An 18,642-nucleotide genomic window follows, 5' to 3' on the forward strand; every position below is an offset into this window, starting at 1 on the left:
TGTGGCTTATTTATCCAGAAAAAGCATTTTCTGTGTGCCTTTCAGGTCAGGCTGTTACTTTATCCCCTTCAGGCCTGACCCCATCTCCCCCACGCATAGCTCAAGCTGAACAGCCCCTGAAGCTGGGAATCAAGCCCCTACCTTGTGTTCAGAGCTTCCCTAACGTCCAGTCGCCACCTAGGGTAGCCTTCCCTCCACACCCTAGGCCGAGAGCAGAAGCGGGTGGCAGGAGCACAGGGAGTGAGGTCCAGGTTAGAGGACAGGCCAGAAGGCCCTCCGAGAGGGTCCCCCAACCCCGCAACGCCAGGACAGGTTTGCACGTCCCCAGCAGTAGGCAAGTCAGGGGGGTCCTAGGGTTACAGCGGAGGAGAGGACGGGCTATAAGCATGTGGAGGGTGCACGGGGTGGCGAGGCCACCACCAGGGGGCGATTTCAGGGCCGCAGCGCCTAGAGGTGGGGGGTCGCCCGATGGCCGAAGGCTGTGTGTGAGCCTCGCCCTCAAACCGCCTCTATTGTGCTAGAGTAGGGGGCGCAAAGAAGAGAGTGGCGACCTTCCCCTCACCCCACCCAGTCGGCCCCGCCTTTCAGGACCCCGCCCCACCCCCGGCTCCGCCTCCACCACCCCCCCCCCGCCCCGCCTCCAGCCGCGGCCCCTTCCTCTCGCAGCTGGTGCTGTGGGGCCGCGGAGCCGCGCGTCGCTGTCTCTATGGCCCCGGATCCGAGCGCAAAGGTGAGCAAGGCGAGGAGTGCGGGCGGCGCCCTGGCGTGAGCCTGGGGCTGCGGGCCGGGGGTCGGGCAAGGCCTCCCCCACGTCCATTCTACCCTCCAAGCTGGGCCAGGCCTTTCTCACCACCAAGTCCCCCGGTCCTGCATGACGGCTCTAGAGGGGCGCGGGCCAGGCCTCGGGCTGCGCGGGGTGCAAACCGGCCACCACGGAGTCGGGGACCAGCGCGGGGAGGGGGCCGCGTGGCGAACAGTGTTCCCCAGGATCTGGGTCACGTCTCCCGGCGTCCGGCGGGATCGAAGGAGAGCTTGTCCTCGAGCTGCAGCAGTAGAGACTGAGGTTAGACCTGACGAAGGGAGAGGACCGCGGACTGTCCAGGATGTTGGAGGGAGGGGGTCCCGGGGGAGGGGCTCTCTCAAGCCAGGAGAGACCGCCATCCTACTAGGCAGAGGGAAATACCGCCTACACTAGGCAGGTGGACATCTGGGATGAAGGTCGAGAGCCTGCTGATCCTCCATTGATCCTGTTTGAAGGGTCTCTCCTCCCCAGTTCCCTCCACCCCAAGATCTAATAGAGGAAAGGTGATCAGAGTTCAGGGGGCTGGCCCTGGGGAAGAACCCGAACTGTGGAACTTGGGGTGGAGTGTGGGGCGTGGACTGGAGACCTTAAACCCGTACTTCGCCACTGAAGGGAGGGGTGATATGCTCCGCCCCGCCCACTTAGCCCCGCCCCCTCCCACAGGTTAAGTGGGGGCTGAGAGCTCCAGCCCGTCTCCCACCTTTAGAACCGCAATATACATAGGGGTGGAGGAGTACTAAATTATGCGTTCCATTCCATCTTTGCTGAAGCTAGGGGCCTCCTCCTGCCTGAGTTACTTTCCCATTCCCTCCCTTGTAGAGCGGCCTTGACTCATGCACCCATCCCATCTGCCCATCCAAGGTCAGAAGCCTCCCCCATCACCACACACACACACACACACAACCCCCTCACCACCCCCACACACAAACACACACTTGAAATTGGGCCTTAGAATTGGGACTTTCAGGAACAGAGGCAGGGTTCTGCTCTGCATCTCACCCCAGTGGACACTGGCAGCCTCCAAGCCTATGGCAAAAACTGGACCCCTGTATGCATGTGTGCTTGTCTCTGCATGGATGTAGTTGTGTGTTCAAGAACTGCGTGTGAGCACACATGTACTTGACCCTTCTGTGAACATGATTGCCTGGCCCACTATATCAATGGGTTTGTGTGCATGTCCCTACACATACATGTGTATGTATAGGACCCTCCTGTTGAATAGGTGCACAGTCCTTGACACAAACCCACATGTGTGGGTTTATCTCTCCTCAATGTCTGAGGCTGTGTGACCTGCTGAATGGATGGGCATGTAAATTCAACGTCACATGTGAATATGTATGATTACCTGTGGCTGTGGCCCTCTGTATGAGCATATGTGTGCACAAAACTCCCTGTGAGTATATGTGTGAATGACCCCTGTGAATCCACGTGTTCACAGTCCTCCTTGTGAACATGTGTGTGTGTGTGTGTGTGCACCCATGTGCATGTATATCACCTTCCTAATAGTCACCCATGTGACTCTTAAACTATAAGTGTGACATGCACCACACTGAGTGGCTCCTCTAACCTGGGGCATGTTCCTCCTAGCCATAGTGCTCCCCACACACATGCCTTTTGCACTGAGCAAATAGGAGGTCCCAAAGGTAAACAGGTGTGCCTCCACAGGGAGGGGTGGGGCATGGCCGGCTTGCCTGAAGCTTCCTGCTGTCCCAGATCCCAAACAGGGAGCCTATGCCCTTTCAGGGTCAGGGAATCCTCTTCTCTCCCTTTCATATTTGACTCTACCCCTCAGGGCTCTGCCCCTGCAGTGCTGACCTTTACCTCTTGAATAATTGCTCCTGTTATCCCTCTGGCCAGTTCCTGATTCCTCCCCTCTTTCCAAGGCCAGATAGTTAATATTTGACCTGGGAGAGGAGGCACCAGTGGCACCCTCTGGCCCTGCCTGTGGGTGGCTGATGAGATGGAATGTATTAGGTCTCTCCACACCTCACCCAGCCCAGGAACTCTTCAAGGAACCCCTTGGTGATTAGGAGGCCTGTTACAGGGGTTGGGAGAGGCCTGCCACCCACCCCCATCCCATCCCCAACTGGTTGGCTTGAGGGAGGGTCCAAGATGTGTCGGGAGGGGCCAAGGGCTCAGGGATCCCATCATTTACCTTCTTCACGTTGCTTATGTCTCAACTGGCCTTGCACACTACAGCCTTCTGCACAGACATTATACCTGTGCAACCAGGGGGATCCTAGGTACCCACCCCAATGCCTGTGAATGCCTACTTGCAGATAGGGACACGTGTGGATGCCTAGCCAGAGGGTGCAATACAGACTGGCGTGGGCAGAGATGTGCACCCCCTTGGAGAGGAATACCAAGAAGTTATAATTAAAGAGAAATTCCAGAGGGAGCTCTCAGGCCAGGGAAAAGAAAAAACAAAGGGAAAGCAGGACAAAATAAACAAAGGTCCATTAAACCTCTCTGGTTAGGCCCTCCTGCATAAGGCACCCCCGCAGGCAGCAGGGGCAGCTGCTGACCGAGTTGCATCTCATTGTTGGGAGAAGCAGGCATTCTCTCCAAGAACCCCAGCTCCTTTGACTTGAGGGCCTAGTGGAGCTTCTGACTTGGCCAGAAGAGGGTCATGACCTTGGGTTTCGGGTTGTGGGCATCTAGGGTCTTGTAAGGAAGGTAAGTTCCACCCCAGCCTCCTGCATCAGAGCAAAGCGATAGACAGAATGATTGTGAGTCGATCCTGGCGTGGGCGTTCTGTGGATGCTGGGCCTCCTTCTTTCAGTGCCCCCTGAAGTCTGGGTAACGCCATCCATCTTCCACCCACATACAGATCAAAGGGCTTTTTTTTCCCCGTTTTTTCTTCAGAAAACGGACCTCAGAAAACCAGGACTAGCTCTACTGTCGGGGGCAGGGTGACCCCATCAGTAACCTACAACCCCTCTAGAACTTCACAACTCCCTCTCACCATGGAGTTTGCATTTGATGCAGAAAGGCATGTGATCCCTCCCTCCTTCTGACCTCTTAGCTGGGGATTCCATGGCCACACAACCCTGTGACTCCATGTCCCCCCGATTCCAGGACCCCCCATGGCCCCATGATTCCTTGACTCCTATGACCTTATGACCCCTGACCTTCCAAGTGACTTCCTTGGACTTTGACCCCTGTGACTGTGCTTCCCATTCCCCGCCCCCACAACCTGTGACTCTGGCTCCCTTTGGGGGTCTTGTTAGTCTGGGCCTCCCCAGGAAGATGTGGGGGAGGCTCTGGCCCCTCCTCCTCAGCATCCTCACAGCAACTGCAGTCCCAGGACCCTCACTGCGGAGACCGTCTAGAGAACTAGATGCCACCCCTCGGATGACCATACCCTATGAAGGTTAGACCCTCAACCTCAAAAGGCAGCAGAAGCCAGGGCTGGGGGTGGGGAGGCACCCCAGAACTAGGGCTCACTGTTCCTGCTCTCCCCAGAGCTCTCTGGGACCCGGCACTTCAAGGGCCAAGCCCAGAACTACTCAACACTGCTGCTGGAGGAGGCCTCAGCAAGGCTGCTGGTGGGAGCCCGAGGTGCCCTGTTCTCTCTCAGTGCCAACGACATAGGAGATGGGGCTCACAAAGAGGTCAGGCCCTGGAACCTGGACCACCCAGAGGGTCTCTATGCTTATCCAGCTCCCTGGGACCTCAACTTCCTTAAAACCCTGCCAGCCTTCCATAGCCCCCTGGTCAGACAGCACTGCCCTTCCCAGCCCAGGTGTTCCTTGCATTCAGTGTTCCTCCTGAAATTGATCCCCACCCCAATTTCCCCAACTCTGTGGGGTCCTATTGCCTGGTCCTATGAGTAATAGGTATTGGGGTCAGTGCATCAGCCTATTCCCTTTGCCTCCACTAGATCCACTGGGAAGCCTCCCCAGAGATGCAAAGCAAATGTCATCAAAAAGGGAAAAACAACCAGGTATGTGGTCTGCCCTGTCCCCAGCTCCTTTCCTCCCCTTCTTCCTCAATCAGGGATGCCAGGATTGTTGGGGACACAGATGGGTAGGTACAGACCTGCCAGTCAATCTCAGCAACCACAGTAAACATTGTAAGTATTGCCAGAGTGGCAAGCCATGGGCACAGCATTTTTTTTTTTTTCTTTTTTTGAGGTCGGATCTCACTCTGTCATCCAGGTTGGAGTACAGTGACATGATCATAGCTCCCTGTGGCCTTAAACTCCTGGGCTCAGGGGATCCTTCCACTTCAGCCTCCTGAGTAGCTAGGACCACGGGCACATGCCACGCCCAGCTAAGTGTTTTATTTTTTGTAGAAACAGGGTCTTGCTATGTTGCCCAGGCTGGTCTTGAACTCCTGGCCTCAAGCAGTCCCCCTACCTTAGCCTCCCAAAGTGCTGGGATTACAGATGTAAGCCATTGCCCCCGGCATCTGGGCACAGTACTTCTAATTCAACCATCTGGTGGCCTACTAGTTTGTCCCGCAGTGGCATCTTCATCTCCTCTGGGATCCCAAATAATCAAAATGGCAATAAGTAGGCTGAACGCGGTGGCTCACATCTGTAATCCCAACACTTTGGGAGGCTGAGGGTAGGAGGACAACTTGAGTCCAGGAGTTCAAGATCAGCCTTGGCAACACAGCGAGATCTGTCTACAAAAAAAATACAAAAATTAGCCAAGTATGCTGGCGTGCACCTGTAGTCCCAGCTACTTGGGAAGCTGAGTGGGAGTATCACTTGGGCCTGGGAGGTTGAGGCTGCGTGAGCTATAATTAAGCCACACATTCCAGCCTGGATGACAGAGCAAAACCCTGTCTCAAAAAAACAAACCAACAAAAAACAGTAAGTAACCTCTACAGATGCTTACTTACGATGGGTTACTTACCAATAAAACCATCATAATAAATTGAACCATTGTTAAGTCAGCAACTATCTACAGCAAGTGATGATTTAGCTATTATCTCAGTTAATTCTAAAATAACCCTATGAAATAGTATTATCCTGCATTTTGCAGATGAGAAAAATGAGTCTTTGGTCAAGGAATAGGTCAAATACCCAGTATTCCATGGACAGGCATTAATGAAGCATCAGCCCTTTCCAGCTAAAGAATAGGGTGTCTCCAGGGGTCCCATGTCTGGCTAGGTAATGGCTCCATCTGGAGAGCTTTTACAAAATAAACGGCCCTGGGCTGGGCATGGTGGGTCACACTTGTAATCTCAACACTTTGGGAGGCCAAGGCAGGAGGATCACTTGAGCCCAGGAGTTCGAGGCCAGCCTGGACAATATAATGAGACTCTATCTCTAATAAAAAATAATTAAAAAAAAATTCCCAAGATCCACTGGGCCAAGGTGGGCCAGGGGTGGTGTTGGGACAGCTCCGTTTAAAAAGGCATCTCCAAGAGCTTCCATCAAAGGCTGCCTCTTGGTGCAGCACAGGTAGAAAATGGGGCTGGGGAGGCAGATGGAACCAGGTCATGGAAGGCCACAGATGCCCAGCTGGGAGTTTGGGTTTTATTCTGTGACAGTGAACACCCTCAGAATTTGATACTTTAGAGGCTCTAACTTTAATGTATCACCCAGGTATATTATAAATGCAGATGCTAAACTTAGTAGGTCTGGGGAAGGGCCCAAGAGTCTGCAATTCTAACAAGCTCCCAAGTGAAGTTGATGCTGCTGGTCCCCAGACCACACTTTGGATAGCAAGGCTTTATAGAACAGTTCCCAAAGCATGTTCTGAGGAACATTAATTTTCAAAGGAGGGGTTTAAATGTCAAATGAGTTTGGGAAACACTACATGCCCAGTCCCACAATGCACAGCAACATCCTTCAGGCTCTAGGAAGTAAGCCCAGTAAAGATAGGTTTCACCTGTGGTTTCCAAAGTTATTTGACCAGAGAATTCCTCCCTACCCCCCTTTAAAAAATGTAAACATCCGCTGGGCACGGTGGCTCAGGCCTGTAATCCCAGCACCTTGGGAGGCCGAGGCGGGTGGATCATGAGGTCAAGAGATCGAGACCAGCCTGGCCAACATGGTGAAACCCTGTGTCTACTAAAAATACAAAAATTAGCCCGGCATGGTGATGCACATCCATGCGAGTAGTAGTCCCAGTCACATCACCATGGTGTTGAGAGTAGTAGTCCCAGCTACTCGGGAGGCTGAGGCAGGAGAATCTCTTGAACCCGGGAGGCGGAGGTTGCAGTGAGCTGAGATCATGCACTGCACTCCAACCTAGCGGCAGAGCAAGACTCCGTCTCAAAAAAAATAAAATTAAAAAAATAAATAAACATCTTGGGGAAACATCACTTTAGGAATATTTATCTGGCCCCAGGCACTGGATGGATGAAAATAGGGTGAGTCTGGAGGCAGGAAAAGCAGTGAGGAGGCTGGGGGCATCATTTGGGTCAGAGGAAGGGGCCTGAGCAGGCTTATGGAGACGGGGGACAGATGGTAGTGGCTTGTACCAGGTGAGGGAGCAGGAGGAGACACAAAGAGGCCTGTATGGATTTAAACCCTGGGTAACAGGCAAGAGGAGGAATCATTAACGTGGCAAAGGAGTCAAGAGGCTGGCAGCTGAGGGCATTTGACAGGCAGAGAAGACCAGTGTGGCTGGAGTAGGGTGAGTGAGACCAGAGGAATGGGCAGAGTCCCATCACACAGGGCTAGGAGCATGTGGGACTCTATATTCAGGTCACTGATGAGCCGATACAGTGGTGTGATCCACTTGACTTTTTTTCAGACATGGTCTCACTCTGTTGCCCAGGCTGGAGTGCAGTGGTTCACTGCAGCCTCGACCTCCTGGGCTCAAACAATTCTCTTGCCTAAGCCTCCCAAGTAGCTAGGACTACAGGTGCATGCCACCACATAGAGATGAGGTCTTGCTATATTGTCCAGGCTGGTCTTGGACTCCTGGGCTCCAGTGATCCTCCCACCTCAGCCTCCCAAAGTGCTGGGATTACAGGTGTGAGCCACCACACCTGGCTAGGTTTACATTTTTAGAATATCCCTTGGAAAGTGGTTGGAGAGTAGCAAAAGTGTGTTGTTTGGTAAAATATCTCTGGAAGGAAACTTCAGACAATAGTAACAGCAGTCTTCTTGGCAGGCAACCTGGGAGACAGGGATAAATGGGAGACTCCCTGTTTATAACATACCCCTTTGTACTTTCTAAGTTTTATACTATGTACATGTATTCATTGACTGAATAAATAGCTTTATAAAGTCGTTTTTATAAAAGAGAAGGTTGGGAGGAGCTATCAGGTAGCAACTGCAGATGTCTAAGGAAGAGGTCATGGTGGTCATTTGGACTGGGTGCTGGTGGTGGAGTCAAAGTGGACCAAGTCAAGAGACTTTTAGGACAATGAATTAATTGTGGAGAGGGACTGAATGTGGGGGTGAGGAAGTAGGAAGCAGCAAGGATGATCCCTGGCTTCTAGGTTGAGTCGTAGGTTGGATGAAGTGAGGTGGGAAAGACTGGATAAACAGGTTTAGGAAAGATGTAGGTTATGGAGGAGGGGATGAACTTGGCTTCTGACAAGGTGAGTTTGAAACATCCCTGGGATATCGGGTGGAGAGCAAGCTGGCATCTAGGGATAGATTTGGTTGTATCACCCCAGCGAGGAGGGCAGGAGTTCCAAGAATAGAAAGAGGTGCTGAGAAGGAGCTGGATGGGAGAGGAGAAGCACCTCAGGATGGTGGAATCCCTGGGAGCTCTTGAACCAGAGGTGGAGGGAACTGCAAGAGACACAGGAGATATTGGCAGAATGGTGTCAGGTAATCTGAGGGACAGAGGAGAGAAATAGGGTCATGTTACTGGGAGGCCAAGGACAGTGAGTTCCAGGAAATATTCTGGAGCAGTGAGAAGGATCACAGGTATCTTGGAAAGAACCGTTTGTCCTGTGGGTGGGGGCAAGAGCCAAACTACAAAGCTAGACTAATGGAGGAGGCTTCTAGTCAGGCAGGGGGCTCACAGCCCTCTCCACCTCATCCCACAGACGGAGTGCTTTAACCATGTGCGGTTCCTGCAGCGGCTCAATTCTACCCACCTCTATGCATGTGGGACTCACGCCTTCCAGCCCCTCTGTGCAGCCATTGTGAGTATACCTGTGTTGTGCCAGATCTCTGTTGACTTCATTAGGGATGGGATCATGTTCAAGATGCCAAAGAAGAGACTCAGAGCCAGTGAAGGAGACGGATGGTTTATTAAGGGGACTTCCATACAGGGCACTCCAGTGGCGGCGGGCTGCACTGGAGAACCATTCCCCTTTGTAAAAACCATGCAGTTTTTATAGCATTTTCACTTAGCATCCTCCCCCTAATCACCTCCACCTGGCAAACTTCATTTAACCCAAAACAAAGGGCCTTGATCCCCTGGACAGCATGTGTTCCACAGGATGGGCTAGGGGCTCAGATGTTCTTCATAGATAAGGAGTGAATCTCTAGGTTGGCCACTTGCAGATTTGGAACTCCAAACATACATTGTTTTGAGGCCATAAGGTCATTCTCAGGGGATGCTTAAGTTATTGCTGTCAGGTGCATCTGCCATACAACCTGCCCCTATCCCTGATCGCTGATCCCTGACCCCAGACTGATCTGACTTTGAGCCACTGTCCCTGCCTGTCTTCGGAACCACTTACTGCTGGTTCCTTGTTCCCTAGGATGCTGAGGCCTTCACCTTGCCAACCAGCTTCGAGGAGGGGAAGGAGAAGTGTCCTTATGACCCAGCCCGTGGCTTCACAGGCCTCATCATTGGTGAGCAGGCCTTCTTCCCTATCACAGACATGGTATTTTTAGGATGTGGATCTCATCTCTAGGACCTGCCACCATGTATATGTCATGTGCCCTGTTGAATATGACATGTCTCTCATGCCTGGAATATCCCCACGCCAGATGGAGGCCTCTACACAGCCACTAGGTATGAATTCCGGAGCATTCCTGACATCCGCCGGAGCCGCCACCCACACTCCCTGAGAACTGAGGAGACACCAATGCATTGGCTCAATGGTTAGGAGGATGAGGCACAGGATGATGGGGGGTAGGGGACTATTTCTTCATTTTTACTCCCTTGGCCAGCTGACCACCCCACCCCCAAATCCCCAGGTGAGCCTGTCCATTCCATTCCTGTGTGTTGTCAAGTGAGGGGTCAGCCTCAGAGTGAGGGAAAGGAATCCCCAGCCTGTCTCAAAAGCCTCTCAAACTGCCTGACCCACAGATGCGGAGTTTGTGTTCTCCGTCCTCGTGCGGGAGAGCAAGGCCAGTGCAGTGGGTGATGATGACAAGGTGTACTACTTCTTCACGGAGCGTGCCACTGAGGAGGGCTCTGGCAGCTTCACTCAGAGCCGCAGCAGTCACCGTGTGGCCCGTGTGGCTCGTGTCTGCAAGGTGGATTGGGCTGACGTTGGGGCACGGGTATAGAGGCTGGACCTCTGACCCTGGCCCCTTATCCCGTGCCTCTACCTCCCCAGGGAGACCTGGGAGGGAAGAAGATCCTGCAGAAGAAGTGGACTTCCTTCCTGAAAGCCCGTCTCATCTGCCACATTCCACTGTATGAGACACTGCGTGGGGTCTGCAGCCTGGATGCTGAAACCTCAAGCCGTACACACTTCTATGCAGCCTTCACGCTGAGCACACAGTGGTCAGTGCAGGGACAATCGGGAGGCAAGAAACTGCGGACAGCATAGGGGCTGGAGCAGAGGTCAATGAGGATGAGATAGGATCCACTGTGGGGAGGTCTGGCTGCAAAGTGAGAATTTTTTTTTTTTTTTAAGAGGGAGTCTTGCTCTGTTGCCAGGCTGGAGTGCAGTGGCGCGATCTCGGCTCACTGCAATCTCCGCCTCCCGGGTTCAAGTGATTATCCTGCCTCGGCCTCCCGAGTAGCTGGGACTATAGGCGTGTGCCACCACGCCTGGCTAATTTTTGTATTTTTAATAGAGATGGGGTTTCACTGTGTTGCCCAGGATGGTCTCGATCTCTTGACCTCGTGATCTGCTCGCCTCGGCCTCTCAAAGTGCTGGCAAAGTGAGAATTTTAAGCACATCAAGCTAGGCTAGAGCCAGAGAATGAATGCAGTGGTCCACTGACTCACAGGAGAGGCCCTGTGGGACTATAGCTGGGGTTGGCCAGGGTAACAGTGAGCTTCAGGCTGAGCACGAGTTGGGGGGCAGGCTTGACTCCATGTAACTCACCCCCCTTGCCCTATGTCCCATTCTAGGAAGACCCTGGAGGCCTCAGCCATCTGCCGCTATGACCTGGCAGAGATCCAGGCTGTCTTTGCAGGACCCTATATGGAATACCAGGATGGTTCCCGGCGCTGGGGTCGCTATGAGGGTGGGGTGCCTGAGCCCCGGCCTGGCTCGGTGAGTGCCCAGGCCTGGGGCCAGTGCTGAGTAGACAGAGCCCAGGGAAGGGTCAAAGGGTCTGGCCTTGTGGAGAGGGCAGGCAGGTGGTGGAGTCCCGAGGTTCACCACCTTCGTCCCCCACGCCAGTGTATCACAGATTCATTGCGCAGCCAAGGCTACAATTCATCCCAAGACTTGCCATCCCTGGTCCTGGACTTTGTAAAGTTGCACCCACTGATGGCTCGGCCCGTTGTGCCCACACGTGGACGGCCCCTGCTGCTCAAGCGCAACATACGCTACACACACCTTACAGGGACACCTGTCACCACGCCTGCTGGACCTACCTATGACCTGCTCTTTCTGGGCACAGGTGCTTCTGATCCCAATCCCTGATCCCTGTTGGCCCTGATCACTAATGCTTCTGAATCCATTAATTCCTGCCATGACTAGTCTGGAGTTCCCAGTGTCCTGAGGGTCCACTGCTCCTGGCTGAGTCCTTGTTCTGGACCTCAGGACTCCTGAGCTGTTCGTATTAGGCCTCTTGCAGGGTGCTGAGAGCAGATCCCATAGTTGGGGTCTAACTCTCTGCTCTTTCCATACCAGCTGATGGCTGGATCCACAAGGCCGTAGTCCTGGGCTCTGGGATGCACATTATTGAAGAGACACAAGTGTTCAGGGAGTCCCAGTCTGTGGAAAATCTAGTCATCTCTCTATTGCAGGTAGCCCTTCTCTGTGACCCTTAATATAGCCTTGCTGAAATAGGAAGAGGGAGTGGGGAGGTTGGGCAGAGGCTGTGTATCTGTATGAGTGGGGACGCTGCCGACCAACTGTCCTATCTGGCTCCCAGCACAGCCTCTATGTGGGGGCTCCTAGCGGAGTCATCCAGCTACCACTCTCCAGCTGCTCCCGCTACCGATCCTGCTATGACTGCATCTTGGCCCGAGACCCCTACTGTGGCTGGGACCCTGGCACCCATGCCTGCGCAGCAGCCACCACCATAGCCAACAGGTCCCAGGGAAGCAGGTGGGAAGTGGTGGGGGGTGACAGTCACATGTGGTCTGAGTGGAGGAGGAAGGCCTGATAGCTACTGGGGGAGTGCAGGGGCTAGTTATTAGTAACAGACCTATCTACCCTTTCACTGGGAAACTGAAACCCAGTTCCCCTTGTTCATAAAACCTGATCTTCTGTCCCAGGACAGCACTGATACAGGACATAGAGAGAGGAAATCGAGGCTGTGAGAGCAGCAGGGATACAGGTAAGTGACTCATATGAGTGTGGGTCTAGCTACGCAGACTGTCCTCTTTGCCATTTACTGCCATGTGTACGTATATGTTTGTATCTGAGTGGCTGTGGCTATGTACATTTGGTAAGGATGACTCAAACACAGAGCCTGGCACAGAGTAAGTGCTCAACAAACATTTACTGCCCAAATGAATTATAAACTAGGAAACATATTTAAGATGTGAAGTGTCTTGTCACTTCTGGAGCTTATAGCCAAGTAGTGGATGACAAGGGTTCAGGACGGTAATGGGTATTTCCCCAAGGAAGATCGGATGACTGAACTGATATCTGAAGAAAGAACAAAAGTTAATCATCACAGCTAAGATGTATTAAGTATTTACTGTGTGCCAGACACTGATCTAAATACTTCTATGCATGATGTCATCTACTGTCACAGCATTCTTATGAGAAAGGTGCCATTATTATTATCCCCATGAGGGACCTCTCTGAAGCCCAGGGAGTGTAAGTAAATTGCTCAAACTTATTCAGCTATTAAGAAACTGGACCAGAATTCAAACCTGGCTGAGTACAGTGGCTCACGCCTGTAATCCCAGCACTTCGGGAGGCTGAGGTAGGTGGATTGCTTGAGCTCAGGAATTGGAGACCAGCCTGGGCAACATGGCAAAACCCCATCTCTACAAAAAATACAAAAATTAGCCGGGTGTGGTGGCACATGTCTGTAATCCCAGCTACTTGGAAAGCTGAGGTGGGAGGATCACTTGAGCCTGGGAGGCAGAGGTTGCAGTGAGCCAAGATCACACCATTGCACTCCAGCCTGGATAACAGAGTGAGACCTCATCTCATCTCAAAAAAAAAAAAAAAGAAAGAAAAAAGAATTCAAACCTGACCCCAAGCAGTCTGATTTGACTTTGTGCTTCTGGTCACTATACTATGCTATCTCCCACAAGTTAGCCAGGCAAGCAGAGGACATGGGGTAATGGGGTGACATGCAAGCAGAGGGAGCAGCAGGCAGAGGGAGGCTGGCACATTTGAGTGACAGGAGAATAGGCTGGACAAGTGGGCAAAGGCCATGTTGAAGATTTTGGTCTTTATCCGAAAAGCAATAGGAAACCTCTGAAGAGTTTTAGGCTGGAGAGTGGCATGATCAGATTTGTGTTTTTAAAATACCTCTCATGAAGAATGGATTACATGGGGCCAGAGTGGGCCAGGAGTCATGGAAGGAGAGAAATCAACAGGTCTAAGATAGATGCCAGAAACAGAATCTTAGTGACAGTTAGATACAAACGTGAAGAAGGGCCGGGCACGGTGGCTCATGCCTATAATCCAGCACTTTGGGAGGCCAAGGCGAGTGGATCACTTGAGGTCAGGAGTTCGAGACAAGCCTGGCCAACATGGTGAAACCCTGTCTCTACTAAAAATACAAAAACTAGCTGGGCATGGTGGCATATGCCTGTAATCCCAGCTACTCAGGAGCCAGAGGCAAGATAATCGCGTGAACCAGGGAGGTGGAGGTTGCAGTGAGCTGAGATCACGTCACTGCACTCCAGCCTAGGCGACAGAATGAGACTCCGTCTCAAAAAAACAAAACAAAACAAAAAGGCGAGCAAGAAAGAGAAGGGAGACTCCCAGGTTTCTGACTTAAGCAACTGTGTGGCTGGTGGTGCCATTCACAGTGGTGGCGATTCAAGGAAAGGACTTGGTGTCGTTGGGGAGAAAAGCTTTGGTTTTGAGGTGTCCAAGAGACCTCATGTGGAGATGCCCAGCACATGGTAGATATCCGAGTCTGGCACTCAGGAGAGAAGTCTGAGGTAGAGATTAGGAGTTACTGGCAGATGGCAGAAATTGAAACCACAGGAGAGGATGAGAGCATGGAGAGAGAATGGAAAAGGGCCCAAGGCACTGCCTGCTTCCTGGGAAGGGCCAACGTGAACCTTCTGTGGAAGCATGAGCACAGAGCCTGGGTCAGCTGTCACTGTGATTCTGGGTTCTGTGCTTGGTGCCAGGGACTTGGCAGTGAACAGTCTGGCTTGCCATCTCTAATCCCTTCCTGGGACGGGCTGGTACTGACCTCTCCCCCAAACCCCACAGGGCCACCACCACCACTGAAGACCCGCTCTGTGCTCCGGGGTGATGATGTCCTCCTGCCCTGTGACCAGCCATCCAACCTGGCCCGGGCCTTGTGGCTACTCAATGGGAGCATGGGCCTGAGCGATGGGCAGGGTGGCTACCGTGTGGGCGTGGACGGGCTGCTGGTTACAGATGCACAGCCTGAGCACAGTGGCAACTATGGCTGCTATGCCGAGGAAAATGGCCTCCGCACCCTGCTGGCCTCCTATAGTCTCACAGTCCGGCCAGCCACTCCTGCCCCAGCTCCAAAAGCCCCTGCCACACCTGGGGCACAGCTGGCACCTGATGTGAGACTGCTCTATGTGCTAGCCATTGCCGCGCTTGGTGGCCTCTGCCTCATCCTGGCCTCCTCCCTCCTCTATGTGGCCTGTCTGCGGGAAGGCAGACGAGGGCGCCGACGGAAATACTCACTGGGTCGGGCCAGCCGGGCAGGAGGATCTGCGGTGCAACTGCAGACAGTCTCAGGCCAGTGTCCTGGAGAGGAAGATGAGGGTGATGATGAGGGGGCTGGGGGCCTGGAGGGCAGCTGTCTCCAGATCATCCCTGGGGAGGGAGCCCCAGCCCCACCACCCCCACCGCCCCCACCGCCACCGGCTGAGCTGACCAATGGCTTGGTGGCACTGCCCAGCCGGCTGCGGAGGATGAATGGCAATAGCTATGTGCTTCTGAGGCAGAGCAACAATGGAGTACCAGCAGGGCCCTGCTCCTTCGCCGAGGAACTCAGCCGCATCCTGGAAAAAAGGAAGCACACGCAGCTCGTGGAGCAGCTAGATGAGAGCTCTGTCTGAGCCCAGCCTCCCAGAACAAATGCTCTTCCAAGCCAGCCTATCTGTCCCAGGCTGGGCCACTGCCTCCCTAACACAGCCACCCTCCCTTCATTACCCCCACTCCATACCCTTCTCCCAACTTTTTGATGTCCCTGTAGGGCTGGCCAGTCAGGCCCAGCCAAAGCCCCCTCCTCAGTCTCCACAGACCCACATGTGAGCAGCCCAGGCCCATCGGTGCTCCTCAGAGGTAGGTGCTCCCTCAGGATCAGGTGCCCTGCAGACCCAGAGCCAGTTCCTATCCCCTAACCTAAACACTTATAGGTGAGGACTCCATCCTCCTGTTCCATTCATCTGCCCAAACCCTTTCTCTTTCTCCCAGGCAGGGCTCTGCAGGTCCATATGGGCTCAATGTCACCACCCTCTGCATGGCCCTGTGTGCTGGATGGTCCTGAAACCAGACAAGACCTCTGCCAGCCACCTAAGCCCTGCGTACATTCACATGCACACATGGAAGAATGTTTATCGGCTGGGCTGCAGTGCCCCCACCCTCACCTTCTCCTGGTGCATTCTTGTTTCATCCCTGCTTCTGGACTTGGGGTACCCTCCCAATTGCCACATCCTATCTGGTCCTCTTCCCCAGCCCCATGTGGTGACCTCTTTGTCAAGAGCTTGGGAACGGGCCAGCCTGGGGAGGTAAGACTGCATCACTCCCCTCCTCTCCCTTCCTGTGTGGCCCTTGTGAATCAGCCTCCCCACTCTCCTTGGTCATTCTCAAGAGTATGAGAGACAGAGCTCCAGGCATGTCCCATCCCCATGCACATGTGGTAACACACACCTGTATCACACATGTGCTTACATTTCCACTCACATGCACCTCTGAGCCTCCCTTGCTGTCTTGGACCTGTCTGTTGGGTTTAGTCCGTGGACATTTCAGAGGGAGATCCCCCTCCCATTTAACTGTCCTCACAGGCCCTTGCCTAGGATGGATGACCAACACTGCACTCAATGAGCCAGCCTCTCTTTTGGGGGAATCAAGCATTTGCTTCCTCTAGACTACAGCAGGGAAAGGGAGGAGAAATCTGATGTCTCAACTGGCACATGAAGCCCATTCTTGGAACTATGCAAAGGGCAGAGGCTGGGAGTTTGGACGCTTAGCTCCTACCCCTGTCCTACCTCACCGGGGCACTTTCAGGGGCCAGGGGCCTCTGAAGTCTCTAGGCCTATATGGGACAATCAATTCTGACTGAGCTCCCCCATTCCCCTCGGGTGAGGATGACTGTTATTTTTGTAGCTGAGAACGTGGAATCCCACGGGTTTTTACTGCCCTTCACCCAACCTCTCCCACCTCCACCCCACAATGAATGTATTTATTGTGAGAATGGCTACACTTCTTTAGGAATGCCCCCACTTACAACCAGGTGGGTGGAACAGGCATGTGACAGAGTGGGGAGCCTGGGCTCAGCTCCTCCCCCTGCCGTTGGTTAATAAACACCCTTTTTCCCCACAGCTATGACTAGTCTGCTTCATCTAGATGCGCCCACCCCTGATCACCAGGGGACAGGCTCCTGAGCCTATACAGAAGGTGATATCTGCCTCCAGGATTGGCTCTGCTCCCCAATACAACTATTTGCAGAGGAAATTGGGATCCTCCGCTTCCATCCTGACTCCTTGGCAGGCACACAGGCCTCTTTAGTAAGGTTCACACTATTCATTGATCATGGTGTTAGGGCATGACAAGAAAATGACAACAGTTCAAGAATTCTTACAGGGGTTTCTAGATTTTCATTTCCTGCCTCTCATTTCCCCACCATCCCCCCTTTTTAAACTAAGATTAGAAAATACTCATTAATATCAGCCTTCCTGCCCTTCCCCAAGGTTCTCAGCACCCCCCACCAGCTGGCTCAAGGGACATGGATTTTATTTCTGCACAAAGAGGGACGTGGGGGGAAGGAGATGTATAGCTAAGACCAGAGAAAGCTTGTCAGCCAGGACTTGGTCTGAGAATCACTCCCCTCTCCCTTTCAGGGGTCAGGCCTAGATTAATCACTTGGCCTTTGATACTAACCACCTGACAGTTGTTATATGTTCTGCGTCTAGTTTTAAAATAATGAAAACTGAGGCTTGTGCTTAACATATGCACACATTTTGAAGACAGACCTGAAATGTGACCTTGGATAAGTTTATTAACCTGTTTTATAAATCTGTATTCACACAGATATAAAGTGCCTAGCCCATCACAGCAGAGCTCTCCGTAGCTCAGTGGTTGTTCCAATAAGACATCAGGGATTCTTCAGAAGCCAGCCTTCAGACCTCTCACTGTGTTTTGAGATCATTATTATCAATTTGGATTTAAAAAACAAGGGCCCTGTAAAACCCTTGAAGTCTTCCTCATCTCAGGTTTTAGGGATGCCACTTGCATAAAAATGAGTGGTTCACAAGGTCACTGCCCCCAGAAGCAGGCACTGGAAAGAAACAGGCAGCTCTTCATTATCCCAAGCAGAACCTCTGTCAACTTGCCCATTGATGGGTTCCATTTGCCTGGGCTTGGAATCCCAAAGGGGAAGAACCACCTTTACCGGAGTAACAGTCCAAAGCCTGGGGCTGCAGTTGGTGGGGCAACTCTTCACTGTGCTTGCACCTGGGCTGGGGCAGGATCCTGAACCTCTCGGGGGCGTAGCCCGCGGAACGTGGTCGGCTTGTTGGTGAAGGGGTGCCACTGGCCCTGGATGCTAGGGTTGTCGGTGTGGAAGGGCTTGCGGATGCGGATCACGTCCAAGCCCGACTGGTCGGCCAGCTTCTGCACCAGCGTCGAGATCTCCTCGACCGACTTGCAGTGGATGCTCTCCTCGCGCACAGCCCCGTTAACTGGCAGAAGAGGGGTGAGAGTGGGTGGAAGCTGGCCGGTGCGACCAAGCGAGAAGGAGGATAGCGGGTCGAGCCCCTGATCCCGCCCTCCAGCCCGAGCCCGGCCCCACTCACGGTATTCGGCCACTACTCTGGGCACGCAGCACGGACGCGAGTTTACATATATTACGACCCCTGGATTCCGTCGGGCGAAGTCGATCACCTCCCGCTCCACGAACTCCCTAAGCGACCCGGGACAGTGAGCAGTATGACCCCTGACTGGGGGCGACCTACCCGGGGAGTCGTTGCCACCTCCACACCCACCCCGACCCGCGCCTGCGCACTTCCCTTGGCTCACCTGGCGCCGCGAGACGAGGCGCCGTCGCGGCTGACGCTGAAGCTCAGACGCTGCAGCTGCTGCACATAGCGACCCAGTCCGTTGTGGAGAACGCTGGCCAAGAAGCGGCTCGGAGTCCCGCGCGCCGTCATAGCTACAGCTTGGAGGCCGCGGAGCCTAAGCAGCGAGGAGAGGGGGGCGGGACTAAACCT

At 53.4% G+C, this 18,642-nt stretch overlaps 2 protein-coding genes and 1 non-coding gene across 21 annotated transcripts, besides 2 other annotated features; 2 read left to right on the top strand and 1 right to left on the bottom strand.

The window, feature by feature from the left end:
• Positions 600-659: a silencer, noted in NCBI's record as "silent region_2711". NCBI's record gives its function as "represses an Ori minimal core promoter by ATAC-STARR-seq in GM12878 lymphoblastoid cells {active_cell/tissue: GM12878}" and the evidence as "EXISTENCE:reporter gene assay evidence [ECO:0000049][PMID:35858748]".
• On the top strand, positions 643-16,755 carry SEMA4G (semaphorin 4G). 9 transcript variants are annotated; one of them, XR_007061978.1, is made up of 17 exons: positions 643-730; positions 831-1,063; positions 3,668-4,175; positions 4,268-4,416; positions 4,686-4,748; positions 8,771-8,869; positions 9,434-9,527; positions 9,666-9,779; positions 9,988-10,157; positions 10,241-10,410; positions 10,987-11,131; positions 11,261-11,483; positions 11,717-11,832; positions 11,961-12,136; positions 12,307-12,368; positions 14,444-15,496; positions 15,629-16,755. XR_007061978.1 is itself a non-coding variant. In NM_017893.4 (15 exons), the coding sequence occupies exons 2-15, from the start codon at positions 4,052-4,054 to the stop codon at positions 15,268-15,270; spliced, it is 2,532 nt and encodes an 843-aa protein (NP_060363.2). In that variant the 5' UTR covers positions 643-730; positions 3,668-4,051; the 3' UTR covers positions 15,271-16,755. The 9 variants fall into 9 exon arrangements, 3 of the variants coding, with proteins under 3 accessions (NP_060363.2, NP_001380854.1, NP_001190173.1); NR_172054.1 differs by having other exon boundaries at positions 11,961-12,121; NR_172056.1 differs by lacking the exon at positions 831-1,063.
• On the top strand, positions 6,124-6,223 carry MIR608 (microRNA 608). The gene has a single exon (NR_030339.1). It is a non-coding gene; the product is annotated as a microRNA 608 (primary transcript).
• MRPL43 (mitochondrial ribosomal protein L43) lies at positions 8,959-18,636 on the bottom strand. 11 transcript variants are annotated; one of them, NM_001394981.1, is made up of 6 exons: positions 18,452-18,636; positions 18,229-18,335; positions 17,888-18,114; positions 15,087-15,213; positions 14,894-14,956; positions 8,959-10,150 (listed from the first exon to the last, which is right to left on the bottom strand). In NM_001394981.1, the coding sequence occupies exons 1-6, from the start codon at positions 18,580-18,582 to the stop codon at positions 9,957-9,959; spliced, it is 849 nt and encodes a 282-aa protein (NP_001381910.1). In that variant the 5' UTR covers positions 18,583-18,636; the 3' UTR covers positions 8,959-9,956. The 11 variants fall into 11 exon arrangements, 9 of the variants coding, with proteins under 9 accessions (NP_001381910.1, NP_001381911.1, NP_001381912.1 ...); NM_001394982.1 differs by having other exon boundaries at positions 8,959-10,511; NM_176794.2 differs by lacking the exon at positions 8,959-10,150 and adding an exon at positions 12,515-12,682.
• Positions 18,395-18,464: an enhancer, noted in NCBI's record as "active region_3902". NCBI's record gives its function as "activates an Ori minimal core promoter by ATAC-STARR-seq in GM12878 lymphoblastoid cells {active_cell/tissue: GM12878}" and the evidence as "EXISTENCE:reporter gene assay evidence [ECO:0000049][PMID:35858748]".

Source organism: Homo sapiens, chromosome 10, assembly GCF_000001405.40.
Source record: "Homo sapiens chromosome 10, GRCh38.p14 Primary Assembly".
Taxonomy (NCBI): domain Eukaryota; kingdom Metazoa; phylum Chordata; class Mammalia; order Primates; family Hominidae; genus Homo; species Homo sapiens.